We start from the raw sequence: 18195 nt of genomic DNA on the forward strand, positions 1-18195 counted from the left end.
CAAATCTACTATTAGGGCTAGTTTACACATTCATTTTAAACATTGCATTGTCCACAGATTACATCCAGGGCTCTGTCAGTTACCGTGAAATTCCAGACACTTCCACATTCTCTCTGCCCTCAACAAGCTTCCAGTTCATGACATTATGAACTTTCTTGGCTCTTGTTTTAATCGCCCACTAGCTGTATGCTGTTGGACACGTTATTCAACCTCTCTAAACTACATCTGCAAAATAGATACATAATAATACTAGCAGTACCTAACTAGGCTCTTGAAAGACTCAAAGAAGATGTGATAATAACGTAAAGTATGAGAATGACCATGCTGTTATTAAAATCTCCATTTAAATTAAGTCCCTGCCATAAAATACAGATTTCCTAAAACAGGAAAACACACCTTATGATTCATACACATCATCATTCACTCTTGGAATGTATTTAACAAAGGCTGAAAATTTACTTGAAATGAATGATTAACCTTGACATTGTCATGGCAAACAGAATTTCATTAGTGGAATATTGTCAGTGTCCTTGTCTTGAGAACACAAAGAAGTCTAGCTCTGCTCATACATCATCTTGCTCTGAGATCAGGCCCCTGACTCAAAGTCGGGTGAATATGAGCTCACTGGGCTCTGCCACAGCAAATGGAAGAAGACCTTTTCTCCATGAATTTTATTATATAAAGTAGCTGTATTTCCACTTGCTTTTTTCTGACATATTGTCAGTTACAGTAGGCTGACAAAAGCAATATAAAGAACTACTTTCTAATAATTTGTAAATTCCTTTATATAGCAAATTTATTCATGGTGCTTTATTCAACAATTCGACAACTGAATTACTACATGTTATATGTCCATCTGGTTTTGATCATCTTCCAAAACAGAAAAGAGAACAGATTTAATTCCTCTTTATGACATAGATGAAGGGTGGTATCATTGCCCAAAAAGGGAAATTTTCAATGTTCTGGAGAATAGGTATTTTGATAAGAAACATAGATGTAATTAATGTGAGCCAATGAGAAGTGCCCTACACACTTATAAGTGCATTACAATTATTGACACATTGAATCCTTACAACAACTCTATGAGGTAAGTTCTGTCATATCGCCATTTTATAAATGAAGAAACCAGGACAGAGAGGTTAAGTTGTTTAACCAAGGTCACCCAGCTAAGAATTGCCAGAGTTCAGATTCACACCCATATAATTTATTTCCAGAGTTTCCCTTTTACCTCTGTGCTATACGCATGTCAACAAAAACAAAACACCATGAATAATTACAATCATGTAATAAAGTCAATAAAATAAGAATGTGCAGATCACATACATTTATGTAACTCTTTACTAATTACAAATCATCTTCTCATGTATTATCTCACTGAGACTCTTCAACAATCTTATGATGGAAGCTAAAGGGAAAATAATAATTCAGTTTCACAAGCTGAGACTCCAATAAGTAATGTGATCGCCCAAGGTCATACAATCAATGAGTGAAGATCTATGAGTTTAATCCAGGCCTTTTAACCTCAATGTGACTACTGCCCTAACTAAAGTAACCTGGAGGGGAAAAATGAGAATGCCAAATGTACTTCCATTCACTAGCTTCTAACATGGTTTCACATCTTGTGAATGACCTTGAAGAGATCATTTTGTGTTGGAAGGGAGAGGAAACAAGTATCCCCAATTCTCTCCCCGTGAAGCTCTTTCCTTTTTCTAGATGAGGAAGCTACTCCTGGTTTTACTATTGTTGGCCAAGATAGGGTACTATGTTTTCTTTGGTTCTAGGAGGGTGGTCTTGAAACACTCTCCTTCTTAGTTTAGTAATTCAAGTCGAGCTCAATAAGAAAATCAAAGGGAAACTAAGTTAAAACAGAAAGTAAAGAAGCTTATAAGGGGAAAAATATAAATTTCCTCCATTTTCATTCCTTAAAAATGTACATTGGTTTGGCTTATACCACCTAGGAGATGGTTGATACTTGGTTATTTTCCTTCATAGCTGGGTTAAGGATGCTGAAAGACCTGTCACAACAGACCGCCCATCATTTTAGCCCTACTCTAAGTCCCACTGTCACTAACCCAGTGGCACCTTTTCCTTTTCAAAGAGAAACTCGGCTAGAAGATCCCTATTTGAATGTAATACCCATAAGGACAGGGCCATTGTCTATTTTGTTTACTTTCTTATCTCTAGTGCTTAAAATAATCTTTGCACATAGCCAGATACTCAAAAAATACTCAAATAAATGAATTAATTCATCAATCCATCCACCCAGATTTTTGAGCCAAATAGATGCATGGGTCATCCCAAAGTGAAGAATGGGGTATCAACTCTTTGTATCAGGAAATAAGCTCAGGTAACTCAAGGGTAGCCTCCACATTTCCAAAGTTGATTGTTTTGTTTTATCAACACTCCCTAAAATTCTCTGCCTAAATATTAAATCTGATATCCTCAGAGGGTACATGGTACCTAGGTTTCTGCTCTGATCACCCCCATCCCCATATCTAGGCCTATATTTTCAGTTCTGATACTTCTCTTCTCTCTCTCTCTCACACACACACACACACACACACACACACACACACACACACACACTCATGTTCACAGAAGAAAAGGAATATAATAAGGCAAACAGAGAGCCACAGACATCAGGTAAAATGAGTAGGCAACTTTAAAATCTCAGAATATGACTAAAATGACCTTAAAATGGTTTAATAATCTTCACATTCATACTGTCACCCATGTTCACTGAGATTCTTTCTCCATGGGCCATTCCTAGTTGCTCTCATTTCTAAATTTAGATTCCAAATTTTCAGGGAATGGATCTTGTTGAAATAGCAGTCTCTTACAGCACCCAGCACATGACTGACACTCAAAATATACTATTAAAACCACAATAAATTCATATTTTTGTCCTCTGCATGCACACAGCACCAGACACTGTGAAAGTAAGAGACAATTAATGAGAGATCTCACTGATCCTGCATTCACAGGTATCTGATGTTGAGTAAGATTTTACTGGAGATAACTGAAATATACTAACTGATTAGAAAAAATCTGTCAGAGGATCAAATGGAAGTTTGGACAAGGTGACCAATAGGACATTTCTTGTCCTAATTTTGTAGAATTCTCTAAGAGTAAAATGTTAAGTACAAAGAGTATGCAATTTAGAGTAGATAAGTTGTCCTTACATAAAGCTACTTCGTCTGCCTGAGTTGAAGTTTATTTGCCTGTGAAACAACTACATTATAGGACCTAAATTGGTGAAAATAATAGGTTGAAATTATGGCACTGATTTGTGAAATGAGAAAAAGTGTGAATGAATAAATGAATGAACAGATCAGCAGATGAGTGGACAGATGTTTGTATGGAGGAAATACAGCATATTTCATTTAAATATCCCTAAATTAGCATTGTTAGGCTAAGCGAAATTGCTCCCAATAAAAATTTAACAAGATGTGGAGAGCTTGTTAGCAGATTAAAAACATTGAAGAATTCTAGGATAGTACATGAAAGCATGTAATAAAAATCCGTCACTCACTTAAAAGTAATTTTTACATAAAACAATATTCCCCTGTGCCTAGTATTAGCCACTAATCCAACCTGCAACATGACATCAAGGAGGCATTGATGTAGATGTCTGTGTGTCTGCGAAGTCTACAGCCAAAACAGACAGACAGATAGATATAGATAGGTATGCATTTTGGTGCTCAGCTATCCAGAAAAGCAGGTATAAGATAATGTATAAGAATATTTCTTTAAACAGTATTTGCAGCAGGAAGAAACAATATTTTTCCAATGTTTTGGACAGGATAATCATATTTAAACTTGCAGTGTTAACTGCAAGGGATCTCATGAGGTCATCAGCCTACTCTAGGTAATGTATACACATTGTAGTAAGCTAGCAACAGTTTAAGAGAGGAGATTTATTTAAAAGTAGGCTGGAAATTGTCTCCTGGTTGGTTGAGTATGCTAATGGCATGGCAATGGAAAAACAGCATGATCCTCATTGCATTTTGACAGTTCTTTCTCTCATTTCTTTAAAAGGCCATGACCAGGAAATAGCCGTAACTGGCCTTTAAAAGATAAGTAACCAAAAGCGTTTATTATTTTGTAAGGACAAAAGGCAGGGAAAGAATGTTGACTTCATGCCAAGAGAAGTAGAATTCATTACCAAAAAAAAAAAAAAATGCTAAAAATGATCTGTGTATAAGAGTAGACACAGAATTTAAGGGTAAGAATCTGACTTAGAATTTTTGTTCCTCCTGTAAGAACGTAGTATAGTGTTTGGAATATAAGATAGACACTGTAAGCATGTGTTGATTTTTAACTTTGACTTAAAAATAATAAATGTTCAGGATGAATAAGAATAATCTCAATGTCACCTTAAGCAAAACCCTAGGCATGCTTTTATTAATAGTGGAATCACCTTTGATCTCTGATAGCATCAGTTAAGTAGTGGCTATTAAAACAAGAAATAAATGTTTGATAAATATGGTAAAAAACAAATGGTTTTAATCTAGGAGAGTTTCCCTTATCTCCTTTGTACATCTAGCAGATACTGAACCCTTGATAAAACCCTGCTGCAACCCTGATAAAACCCTAAGGTAAACCCACACCACTCTAGGGAAGGGAAAGGTTATGCCCTAAGTGAGGGAAACATCATAGTTTCAGGCAACAGCTAAGAGATCTGAGCCTTGGAAGGTGCATTTAAACTCAAAAAAGAGGATGTGCCTTGTTCTTTTGTGCCTGGATTTTGAATAATTTGCCCATGTTTATGGTTGTGCTGACAGACAAAGGAAGAAATCCTCTACCAAGCAGAATTAAGCCAGGAACTGCACAGGAAAACAATCTCATAGGGATTATTTTAAGATATTAGTCTGGAGTTGTGGACTCCAAAGAGTGAACTATATCAAGTTATGTAGATGTTAGATGCAAATTACTCTCCACATTGTAATTTTCTTTGTTACACACTGGCTTTCAATAAAGTCTTATGTTAATGTTCCTATTCAGTCTCTCTTTTGCTGCCGGTAATTAATAAAAAAGTTAATATGTCAATGCTTAGGCCAGGAGCTACATACTACGCAGCACCATAGAAATAACAAACATAATTAATTAGAGTCTCCAAGCTGTATCTCTGGGGTGAGTTAGTCCTCACTACAAGACACTCGTTCAACACAGACTATGGAGAATTAACAGTATGATGTCAGTCAAGAAGTTGTTGGGTTTTCCTTACCAAGTCCTTATATAATTTCAGGCAAATCCTTTGAACCACAGAAAAATATCAAAAAACTCTGCGTTCCAATTATAGGTTAAAAGTGTTTGAGGGACACGAAGGATAGGGTAGGGAATAGAAGGGACATTGATCTGGTTTGAATCTGTGTCCGTGCCCAAATCTCATGTTGAATTGTAATCCCAGTGTTTGAGGAGGCGCCAGGTTGGAGGTGATTGGATCATGGGGGCAGACTTCCCTCTTGCTGTTCTTGTGACAGTGAGTTCTCATGAGATCTGACTGTTTAAAAGTATATGGCACATCCCCCCTCACTCTCTTGCTCTTGCTCCAGCCATGTAAGATGTGACTCCTTCCTCTTTGCCTTACACCATGATCTTAAGTTTCCAGAGGTCTCCCAAGCTACGCTTCCTGTACAGTCTGCAGAACCGTGAGCCAATTAAACCTCTTTTCTCTACAAATTATCCAGTCTCAGGCAGTTCTTTATAGCAAGGCAAGAACAGACTAATATGGACATTAAGATTTATTAGACACCTTCTACATACCATGCACAGTCCTGGGCCCTACACAGGTTATTTTACCTAATCCTCACAATAACCCTGGCAAGGCCAACACTGTTATTCACATGTTACAGTGGGAAAGCTAAAAGTCATAGAAAGTTGATTAATTGTCTGAAATATGGGGTCAGGTCCAGAATTCAAATCTAGTTTAGCTCACTCCAAATCCAAAGCTCTCTTCATGACTTTTTTTAGGATGATGAATCCACAAAATGAACTTATGAGGACAATTCATATTCTTGAAGTGTTAAAAACAGGTAAGATAACATCATTTAGGGCCACCCACAGTCTAAGTCAGGGGCATCCCTGCTGTTTGTTCCTTGTTGATCATGACCCCATTTGAAATACTAGTTAACAAATAGAGCTGGGGAAAGAGAAACTGAGGAAAGTGAGGCCTATGTTCAAGTGTTTGAAGAACTTGAGTATTGTGTGTGTGCAAGAGATTCACACTAAGAACAAGATATCCTGTGTGTGTAGAGGCAAACTTGGATGCCTCTCTTCCACCCATGGAATAGATTACATCGCAAAATGAGGAAGTGGTTTTCCCACCATCAGAGACTTTCCACTCAAGATCAGGAGCAATACCATGGGAAGTGGGTTTCAAGAAATCAGACAGGTATTCTATAAAATGATTAAGGTCAGCATTGCTGGGGGTGGAGAGTGAATCAAAATCATTATAGGCTGCATCCAAGGCAATACTTGGGAAAACTTTTGTTCATTTTAAAGGACATAAAAAAGGGAAAATAAGGAATCATGAATCAACAATGAAACTGATTGCTGGGGATGTGGGAGAAATGACAGAAGGATGGAAGATTCAAGGAGATAGTCACGGAAAGCACATCTTTACTAACCCGGAAAGAAAGCACAGAGCTAAACACTTCTATATGGCATCAAATGTGTATTGTAAAGGCTGGCATAATTGATTAAATAAGTAGATTTTTAACACATGGTTGAAAACCTAAATGATAATGTTCCTCTGAGTTGTGGTATTTGAGAATAAGAAAAAGAAAACATATTAACCTATTAAGTTGTATGTGAGGAAAGCTCCCCTGGAAAGGCCAGGGTAAAAAGCTACTAGGTTGTTCGTCAAAACTACAGTGGATTCTATGGAAGATGGTCATTGACTCTTTTGGATTCTTGTGTAGGAAAGATCCCAGTTTGGGGTAAGGCACCTCAAAATAACCAAAAGCCGATGAGCTTAAAGGTGAGCACAGAACCAAAGGAAAATGGTCGGGGGTGGAAATCGTGCTATTAGGAGCTCTGCTATGGTTCCCTCACATCAGGCCTTCTGCAGGTTAAGTGTTAGGCTCATATTAGAGAGTGTGAAAAGGAAATACTTACTTTAAGTTGCAGTCATGGTTATTTCCCACGAGATCTACCAATTCCACTAAAAGTAATCACAGAGAAATCTGGAGACTCAATGATGTAGTTCAGATGTTAATCCCCTCCAACTCTTATGTTGAAATATGATCACCAATGTTGGAGGTGGGACCTGGTGGGAGGTGTTTGGGTCATGGGAGCAGATTCCTCATAAATGGCTTGGTGCCCTCTCCACGGTAATGAGTGAGTTCTCACTCTGTTAGTTCATGTGAGAGTTAATTGTTAAAAACAGTCTGGGGTGTACCCCCTCTCTCTCTTGCTCCCTCTCTAGCCATGTGGCACTAGCTGTTCCCCCTTCGCCTTCTGCTGTGAGTGAAAGCTTCTTGAAGCTCTCACCAGAGACAGATGCTGGTGCCATGCTTCTTATACAATCTACAGAATCACAAGCCAAATAAACCTCTTTTCTTTATAAATGCCCAACCTCAGGTATTTGTTTTTAGCAACATCAAATGGGCTGCTACACTTAATTATTGGCAAAAAGAAAGAAATACGTAAATCTCAGTACACACTCACAGCTCATCATATAGTATCTTTGATTTCATTTGTCAGGAAGAAAAACAAGAATCACAATTTGGAAAAACTCAAAACCAATTGGAGAAAACTGACTACAAATTGGAAAAAAAAAGTCTTACAAAATGTTTTATCAATAAAATGCTACAAAACACAATGAAGGGGGTGGAGAGATATTCGACGAGAATCGACAGTGGCCACTACATGCATGAAGTTAGGAGCTTTAAAAGGCAACCATCCCATTTCCTGCTTGACAATGTTTAACTGACTCCATGCACAGTATTATCTTTAAAATTAGAAAGTAAGCATGTGTTCCACCAGTAGGTGAGAAAGTTGTGTGACCATAGAAAGGTCACTTAACCTCTGTACATCAATTTACTCATCCATAAAATGAGAAATTGTTAAAAGAATAACTGATGATCTTTATGATTTAAGTCCTTTAATGAAGATTACTTTTGGAAGGGTTCTGGAACCATGTGTGACACTCAGTTTTAGAGAGTCTAAACAATAAGAAAAAAAAGTATATAGTCTAGAGTACCCAAATATTTTCAATGTGACTGCTTACTTGAAAAAAAAAAAATGGCTTTAGTAGCTGTAGCAAAGATTGTCAGCATGGAACACTATGCAGCCATAAAAAAGGATGAGTTCATGTCCTTTGGAGGGACATGGATGAAGCTGGAAAGCATCATTCTCAGCAAACTATCACAAGAACAGAAAACCAAACACCACATGTTCTCACTTATGAGTGGGAGTTGAACAATAAGAAAACATGGACATAGAGAGGGGAACATCACACATCAGGACCTGTCAGGGGATGGAGGGCCAGGGGAAGGATAGCATCAGGAGAAATACCTAATGTAGGTGACGGGTTGATGGGTGCAGCAAACCACCATGGCATGTGTATACCTATGTAACAAACCTGCACATTCTGCACATGTACCCCAGAACTTAAAGTATAATAAAAAAAAAAAGAGTAAATGACTCATCTCAACGAAACTCTCTTGAAGCTGCTAAGTTCTCCCAATTTTAGTTCAAACTGAATTCCTCTATCTCTGAATAAGTGGTGGTGGTGGTGAAGGAAAGAAATATGAAGATGTCTATTAACTGGGGAGATGGCCCAAAACAACATAAAGCTGTCCCTGTCATAGTTGGACTTCAAAGGTTTTTGCTTTAGTTTATTTTTTTTTGGCTTTTGGTATTTTTTTTTCCTGTGTACAATTTCTATATAGATAAGAAATCTTAGATAACTGTTGGTGAACAGTTTTGTAATAATTTGGATAAAAGACAGAGATAATTCTATAGTGAGGAGAGTCAACAGAGGAAATACATTCTAATGGATTTGTTTCTAGCCTGAGCTGAATTTTTATTCTGATGTTACTTACTCAGTACGGAACTTTGAACAAATTATTCCTCTTTTTTGGTCTCTATTTCCTTATTCTTAAAATGAGATTAACCAGATGATTGCTAAGGTCTCTTTCTACTCTAAAATTCTATGACTCTAAATATAGTGCTCACCGACATCATATTACTTAAACAAAACAAAGTAGGAAGCATTTTCTGTCATCTTCCAAAGTAACTTCAGAGTAGTTAACTAAAGTGAAAAGAGCATTGGTTATCCTTCTTTCCCCAGGCCATTGGCTAGATTCCCTCAGTCCCCAGAAGAACTAAACCTGACTCATTAATCTTGTGCCACAAAGCCCTTCTCTATAACTCTGGATAAAGGCAATATTATTTAAAGCTAACATTTTTCAAGTGCTTATCATTTACCAGGAACTGGTCTAAGCACTTTATATGTATCAACTTATTATCACAACCACCCTATTAAATGGGTATTATTGTCAACACGTAAACAGAGGAACAAAAAAAAGTAACTTGGCTAAGGTTATACAGCTGTCAAAGGGAATGACCATGATTTGAACTCAGCAAGTTTGGGTTCAGCCTCTTAGTAATTGATGAATCACATTTCAGTTATGTGGTCCCAGTGTAGTAGGAGAGGAAGGGTGCTAGTTCTGGTGCTAGTGATGGCTATGATAGCTCTTCTTTTTTGTTCTATATGCAAAGAAAACATGTGGCTGGGCAGGGTGGGAAAACCTGATGTGAAGAATGCTCTCAGCTATAAGAGTTGGGAGCAAGCCCATGCTTTCCCCTTCCAAATACCGGAAAATCTTCTAAGTAAGCCTTGATATGACAGCTCCGTGAGTTTATAATCCTAACTGAGCCCTGTAATAGCATAGCATCTCACTTCTACTTCCTTGAAAATTGTGGGTAAGACTTAATCCTGCTTCTGAAGCAGAATCAGGCCTAAATGTGTGGCTCACTAATTTTCTTTTTTGTTAGAGAGCCCCCTGTTGCATAATTTGTGTAATTAAAGTATGTATAGCTTTGCTAAGCAATTCTCCTAGAGCCACTAAAATGTGTGAGTGTTTTAGAAATTATATTGGCATAAAATACCAACCTCTGATTTTCTTTTTGGAGTGTTCCATCTTAGGGAGCCATTTTATAAGTATGTATCTAGAAGAGCGACTTAACACAGCATTAAGTCGCTAAATTCTCGGGTTTTTCATTCTAATGTATAACTGCTGTTAGCTTATTGAGAGAGCCTGGGCAAACAGCTTAAACTTTTTGTTTCTTAAGATCATTTCCAAAATGAATACAACAGACTCTCATGACAAAGATTTACGTGCAAAGATTTAGATATGGAATCACCACATACAATACTTGGAATGGAAAGAACTTTAAGAATTATTCAGGCTTATGCCCTCATTTTAAAGATTATGAAATTGAAGACCAAGAAAGGTGCAACATGCTTTAGGTCACACAGTTCTTGGTAGCTTAAGCAGAAACACAGCCTAGGCCTCCTGATTCTACGATCAGTGGTTTCTCTGGTATAAGGTTTAATTTTTCTATTAAAGACTATATTTTAGGCTTTTTAAAAAAGTTCTAACAAAAGCTAGTAGGTACAAAATGACACAGTTTATAGAAGCTTCCCATTCAAGCCTCACAACCACTCAGTAAGACAGTTACTAGTTATTATCAACACTCACTATATGCCTAATTTATAGATGCATAAAGAGAAGCTCAGGCTGCTGAGGAAGTGGTCCAAGGTCACACTAGCATTCTAGCTCTGATCTCCGAAATTTGAAATTTATTTTCTTCTTCGGACCTTTTCTTCACCCCGCCCTCTTTAAATTTGTTTCACGTCAGATCAAATGAATTATAAAGTCTTCAAAAAAAAAAAGACTATTAATGCTTTCCCCAAAACGTCCCCAGTTAGCATATAAGCTAAGCATTTCTTCACTGGCCACTTCCCCAGATCCTGTTCATCTGACATCTATTTTCAAATAAAACAGGATTCCTTAGAACAGTAGGAATTTCTCACACTGGTTTATTGCATAGGAAAAGAGAGTCATAATTCTTTTTGTAACCATAGAAGTATCATCAAAATACAGAATTATTTGTAATGCTAATGAGAATTTTCTTCACCAGGTAGTGCTGTTTGCAAAACATCTGGTGCACCATGCCAAAAATACATAGGAGCTGAAAGGCAGGATGCAAACTTTGCCTCAGGATCTTCTCCACCAGGTAATTTCAAGACAGGCATTGCCTTTAATATATGTGTTAGATGTTGCAGCATCTGATAGTCACATAACTAATTTCTTTAATTAGTTCACCCCTTGTGCATCTTGGCTTCAAGGATTCAATTAAACACAAAACTTGCAACTCAGTGCTAGAGTATTCATTAACCTGCAAGTTATCTTTTAAAACAACTATAGTCTAGGGAAAATTTCATGAAGATATGAATTTGCCCTTGTCCTGAATATATATAATTTGAATCACATGCCACAGGAGGAGAGTCTATAAACAACGTTTATTCTTAGCAATGATTCACCGTACACACAGAGAGACACACACACAAACACACACACGTATCTTTACATCTTACCAATTTCTTTGTTTACCTATAATAAAACTTTGCAATAGGCCATGTTTTTTATCCCTTCACCAGTCTTCTTGCCTCAGCATTTTATAATTTTATGCATATACAATATACATATGTTTATAAAATATGATACATCCTACATACAAGATGCATACAAGGTGAGTTGTCATGCATACACATATTTGTTGTTTTATATGTATACTGCATATATGTGTGTATAAAATTTTAAAATGCTAAGGTAAGAACTGGTGAAGGAGAGGAAGAAAAGCGGTCTCCTGCCAACTTTTTCTACCAAAGCATTTATGTGCTTTTCCTTTTACATCCATCCCTCAGTCATTGGGCACTTACCACATGCCAAACTGCTTATCACATGGGAGACATAAAGAAATAAAACATAATTTCTCTCCTTAGAACGTACTGTCTAGTGGATGGACCTGATATTTTATGTAATAGCAGAATGAAGCAAACACAAATGAAAGGTGGGCTCTGTGCTGGGATGTTCAGGAGAGAAGGACACTCTTCTCAATTACAAGGGTCCTTACAAGGTTTCACCATGGAGTGACATGAGAACTGCCCACTTAAGGAAAAGTGGGATGCAGTCTCCCAGGAATAAGTCTGAGAAAGGCCTTCTAAACAGACAGGAAAGGAAAAGCACAAAGGTGTCAAACATCAAGGTTATGTCAGGCTGTGGAAGTCCTCCAGGGCAGCGATCCTATGTGTCTACTATCATTTCTCATATGTCAAACTCATGATTAATAAAATTAAATCAATCAAACAAAACAATAAATGAATGAACAGTGTTTGGAGAGTGTTACCAGCTTATTGGGTCAAGAAAATAAGATATATGGAGATATATGATAGAAATCATAATAAATCACTAGCGAATAGAATGCATTGCTGTGGAATTTGTGCCTCATCCTAAAGGCAACAGAGAGCTATTGAAAGTTTTTTAAGAGAACTGTGATAGAATTTAATCTATAAAGTCATGTACTATTGTAGCTTTTAATGAAAATAATTGGTTTAAATGTGGTACAACAGAGTAGTAATCAGATTCATTCATTACATTAAAATTAAATAGTATTAAACTAAATTTCAATACATTAAAATTACATGGGGATGGAACTGTCTTACTACAACTTTCTTAAATGGATATAAATAGCACTTGAGACAAAGCTCCAAGAGATCAAGTTCATAGGTGTTACACTTACTCTCACCAAGTTTATAGCTCTTTACAAATGTTATTGAAAAGTTATCTGTTTTCATAAGTAGAAAAACACATATAAATATCCACAAACTCTCCCACGGCTATACATAACACACAGCATGGACTAGTAGTGTAAGACCTGGATTTGGTGTTGTTATTACCATTAACTTGGTCTAAGATCCTGGGCTTTTCCTCCCCTTGCTAGGCTCCAGTTCCCTAATCTATAAAAGGAGGGGGGAAATGGTGCCCTCCATGGTCTGCTTTAGCTCTGATAGTCTGTGATTCCAATGTGGTCTCTGGAATGGCCTCTGTTAGTTTCCACACTTAGCACAGCAGAGGGCTAGGGAGTGATGAGCCTCATAGTATTGTCAGAGGGAAAAATATCACATCCTTTTCTTTACTCACCTAAAATTGAACAAATACAGGTATAAAGTGAAAAATGAGGCAGGAAGCTACAAGGGAACATTGCATTATGTTTAATGCTACTTTTGAAAATATATTAGGCTTCAAATTTGGAAATCTGTGTAGCTCTTCAAACAGATGTTATATTTTACCCCAGAGATGACCCCATTTTAGATGATGGCAATCCAGTATGTATAATAATATTCTTCATCAACTTCCTAAATTACTTGAGAGTTGTAGGAGATAAAAAGTGTAATACAAAAGAAAGATGGTGACATCCCAGTAACTATATTAAGAGCTAGAGAGACTGTGAGCACATTTACTTTTATCCTTAGCTATGTTTGAAAGAGAGACACTTACATAAGTAGTATCAGGATTTAAAAGAACCAAATGTCTCAAGAGTAGAAGAGTATTTGACTTGTAACCAAAATCTTGATTTTAAATTTTAATTATTTAAGTAAATAACGGTAGAAACGTAGGTTAATTACTAATTTACTGTCTCTTAGTTTGGTAGTCATCTTTGAAACGGAAATAAAAATACTTACTGATACGATTATTTTGAGGTATACAAAAATACATTATAGTAATTACTTGGCATGGTTTATGGCACGCAGTATGTGCTGAATAAATGCTAGCTTTTTTTCCTGGGACTTTTCAATAACGTTTGTAGAGCACTATAAGAGTAGAAGAGTGTAGGCTGGGCATGGTGGCTCACACCTGTAATCCCAGCACTTTGGGAGGCAGAGGCGGGTAGATCACGAGGTCAGGAGTTCGAGACCAGCCTGACCAACATGGTGAAACCCCGTCTCTACTAAAAATACAAAAATTAGCCGGATGTGGTGGCAAGCGCCCATAATCCCAGCTACTCAGGAGGCTGAGGCAAGAGAATCGCTTGAACCCAGGAGGCAGAGGTTGCAGTGAGCTGAGACTGCCATTGCACTTCAGCCTGGGCGACAGAGCAGGACTCCGTCTCTGAAAAAAAAAAAAAAAGAGTAGAAGTAGAAGAGTGTAAGTTGTTTAACACTTTCTCATGATGTACGTAGTAGTGCCAAACATACTCTAGGTTCTCAATGAACATAAAACACAGATGAATTTTTAAATTAGCATGAACACTTTGACATGTGATTTGCATTATCTGGATAGGACAATCTGACGTTAATTCTAATCAATATGGTAGGCATTTATTTCATTTAGTAAATAAATACAAATAGCAGTAGAGTGGTTCTCACATCATTTCATTTAGTGCCCAGTAGTATGTGTTTCTGGAAAGATGTGTAAAGAGACAATTTTTTCAAGAGCAGATACTGAGAGGCTCTTGAAGTGCATTCCCTGGTACCATTCTGAGAGAGCATCAATGTCACTAAGACTTGGCAGCAGGGAGCAGCACTCATCTGTGTGACTTCCAAGAAACACAGAGACAGCCACTTACTGCAGCCACCAGCAGAGAAGTAGGTATGGGGGACACAGCCTCTTCTCATGCCTGCTGGCATCTGAAACAATATCCCTCTTGATTTTGTGTTTGCTTAGATCAGAGTGCAGACTCAAGGCACTCACATAACCTGCCACTGAGAATGTCTTAGAACTTCAACTGTGCTTTGCCAACCAAAGCCAAAGGATGTTAATATTGTGTAGCAAGTTGGGTCAGGTAGAAAATGCTTTTCTTATTCAAGCCCTTCAAGATCTTTCTCAATTGCAACTTTCTTGTGGTCTCCTAACAGGATCCCCCTCCGCCACCCAAGTCTGAATGTCAAAAGCACTTTCTGGTTTTGCCAAAGGAAAGGCAGCTTCCTACCTTGCATTACATTGATTTGTGTCTCAATTGTGTCTATCTCCTCTACTCGACCATGATTTCCTAGAAGGCAGGGAGTCTAAATTCCTCCTTTTAGAAACAGTCAGTTTAATTAAAGGTGTGTTAGAGGGAAGAATCAGGAGAGGAAGAAGGGAAGGGGGAAACAGTTCACATGTATGAAAATAAGGGAAATAAATTACTATGTCTGAAAGCAGCCACTCTAATAATGATGTTGATTTTTATACTCCTGACTTGTCAAACAGATAATTATGAGAAGGTTCCATCTGAAAAATAAATTAGAGTATCTGGGTCTTAAAAAAGAAAAAAGAAAAAACACTGCTTGGAATGTTATTAATATATAAATGATCTAAAACTTGACAGTGACTCTTCTCTTGGGTTCTCATAATTGGGCAATGCTTCGGAAGATGGTAGAAGGAAGTCCAAATCTGGGCATAATCCCGTACTTCCCCAGACTGGGGACAATGTCAGACTTTGAAACAGTAAAATATGAGAGAAAAAAAACCTGTATATTTTACAAACTAACAGAAAGAAGGAGGGATTTTATGAATCAATTATTCCAGCACCTTAGCTTTAGATGAAGGATATGAGGTTGTTCCTTTAAGTATTTCATAGGCTTTGAAAGCTCTGTGAGTCTGCATATGGCAATCCTTCTGTCTGGAATTACTTCTGCTGTGTTTGACCCACCTCCATTGCCGTCTTTTCCTTGAAACCTTCTCTCATTCCTCCAGTCAGTTTATTCATCCTTCTTAAAGACCCATGGATCACTTTTAAATACTTTTATTTATACACTGATATATGTTGGCTTTCTCAATTAGATCATGAATTTATTTTGGGCAAAAACTATGTTTACCCTACTCACCCCAAACACCTAGCACAATGCCTGAAAAAAAGAGTACTTCACAAATTAATATTGAGTTGAAATATTTAAGTTCACTGGAAGAGATGAGGGAAGAGGACAGCATCAACTTACCTCTTCACGAAGCTTAAGACATCTGACTCTTGTTTATAACAGCCCTCGCAGATTAATAATTTTAAACTGTAAAGCACACTGGCACCACTTAAAGACTGGCTTGTGAAGGATCACTCAAAGAACAGGCCATATTTTGATGGAATGGAAGGAGGAGCTTGTCCTCTATACTGCAGTATTTTGGAAAAAGAAGTGGACTGAGAAAAATGCAGTCCTTTCTTTCTTTTCCTAACTTCCCCCTCCAACATTTTTCTCTTATTTCTCCTTGTCTTCCTTTATGTGCTCCTCCTCTTTCTCCTTTGCATAAAGTATTGATAGTCATATCCTTAAAATACTACAAAATCTCTCTGCTTTCTACATGCATTACTCCTTCTCTAGAACTATGTGCCTACACTTTACCCAAAAGGCCAAGTGTACTTCGTGATGGCTGCCATGAAAAATAAGAAAAAAGAAAGCTGGTTAGATATTAATGCACTTGTGTTTAAACCACAATGTATGTTACTTTTTGTGGGGGTTGTACTATACATTGGTGCTTGTTTATCTTGGCAAATGAGGTAAGGTAGGTAACAATATTTATAGATTTGAGAAGATATCTCTTAACGCCATTCTGGAAAAAAAATGCAGCTGGTGTATTTTGCTAGAAAATACTCTCAAGGAAAAACAATAAGGTAAAAGGCCCTTAAGATATTTTTTTGCAACAAACAAATACACTTCTGTATAGATATACCAGATGCTTTCTTCAAAGCCACACAGAGTAGATTTTCAATGGTAATAAAATGCTTGTCTCTGTTGCCACTATTCTATTTTAGTTAAATAGCATTAGCAATTTTAAGATAATCTCATTTTGGAAGTATTATAATTACCTTAAGAATTTGGCCTTCTCTTTGCTTGCATATGTTCATAGCAGCATATTCACAATAGCTAAAAAGTGGAAGCAACTCAATGTCCATTGATGGAAAAATCAATAAACCAAATGTGGTATGTACCAACAATGGAATATTATTCAGCCTTAAAAAAAAAAGGGAATTCTGTCACTATGGATGAACTTGAGGGCATTATGCCACATGAAATCAACCAGCCACAAAAAGGCAAACACTGTATTATTCTTCTTGTATGAGGTATTTAAAGTATCATATCCACAGAAGAATAAAGTAGGGTGGTGGTTTCCAGGAGCTGGATAAGGGGAAAATGGGGAATAGCTGTTCGGTGGGTATAGTTTCGGTTCTGCAAGATGAAAAAGTTTTGGAGATCCATTGCACAGCGGTGTACTTAATATTACTAAACTGTACACTTAAAAATAGTAAAGATGGTAAAGTTTATCTGTTTTATCTCAATGAAAAATAAAGAACTGGATCTTCTTTGAAACAAAATGCCTGCAATTATTTCAACCTCACCCCTGCCATTTAGGTTTTGATTACCACTCTCTAAATAGTTACCACACAATGTACAAATATTTCTCAAAGTAATAATCAAGTTGGCTAGAAGACATTCAATTCATTTATTGGGGTCCTATTATGCCTGAAGTAATGAGTTTGGCCCTAGGGTGAAAGGGGGAATGAGGGAAGGCATTTCGCCACCATGAAGAGGGTAGTCTTGGGTGGGTCTTAGTGACCACAGGTAAGGAAAGACATGACTCCTGTTGATACGGAATACAACAACCTGCTTCTGTACTATAACCAGTGTATTGGGAGCATAATTGTTATTGGAATTTCTCAACCTTTGAGTTTTTCAAACAATTGGGTCTATGCTCAATATCAACAGTTTTTAAATTCCACTGAACACTTCTCTATTTCAAGAGATACCTGAGGTTTTCATGTTAACCTCAAGTCACAATGGAGTCCACCCACTTTCTCCAAGCACCAGATATTATTTTGAAGATATCCTGTAAGCCAAAGGAATGAAGGAACAGATGATATGAGTTATCTTGAGAACTCCAACATAAATGAGATCTGAATGGAGAAATTACTTGGATCACTCTAACAAAGGCAAAAACGGCCTTTACCACCCACAATGAATCCCAGAGATAAGCTCGCCCTACTTACACAGGAGCTGGGTTCTGAAAAGAGAAACTTCAGCGGTACCTGTAAGCAGTTGTAGGTGAAACCTTTCCATTTAAAGTTTGTATCAGGTTGATTTTCTTGGAAATCAAAATAGAAAGGAGCTGATTAGATCTTAGCTAAAGGGGAGAAACAAAATAGCTGGAG

General features: G+C 37.2%; 1 protein-coding gene across 4 annotated transcripts in view, besides 1 other annotated feature; it reads right to left on the reverse strand.

Annotated features, from left to right (window-relative positions):
* The window catches only part of FGF12 (fibroblast growth factor 12), a 588152-nt gene that overhangs the window by 273802 nt on the left and 296155 nt on the right, over positions 1-18195 (reverse strand). The window lies entirely within an intron of this gene.
* Positions 3707-4424: an enhancer, noted in NCBI's record as "OCT4-NANOG hESC enhancer chr3:192134687-192135404 (GRCh37/hg19 assembly coordinates)". NCBI's record gives its function as "activates a minimal SCP1, AML or CMV promoter by ChIP-STARR-seq in naive H9 embryonic stem cells {active_cell/tissue: H9 hESC(naive)}" and the evidence as "EXISTENCE:reporter gene assay evidence [ECO:0000049][PMID:30033119]".

This window comes from Homo sapiens, chromosome 3 (assembly GCF_000001405.40).
Source record: "Homo sapiens chromosome 3, GRCh38.p14 Primary Assembly".
NCBI classification, from domain to species: Eukaryota; Metazoa; Chordata; class Mammalia; order Primates; family Hominidae; genus Homo; species Homo sapiens.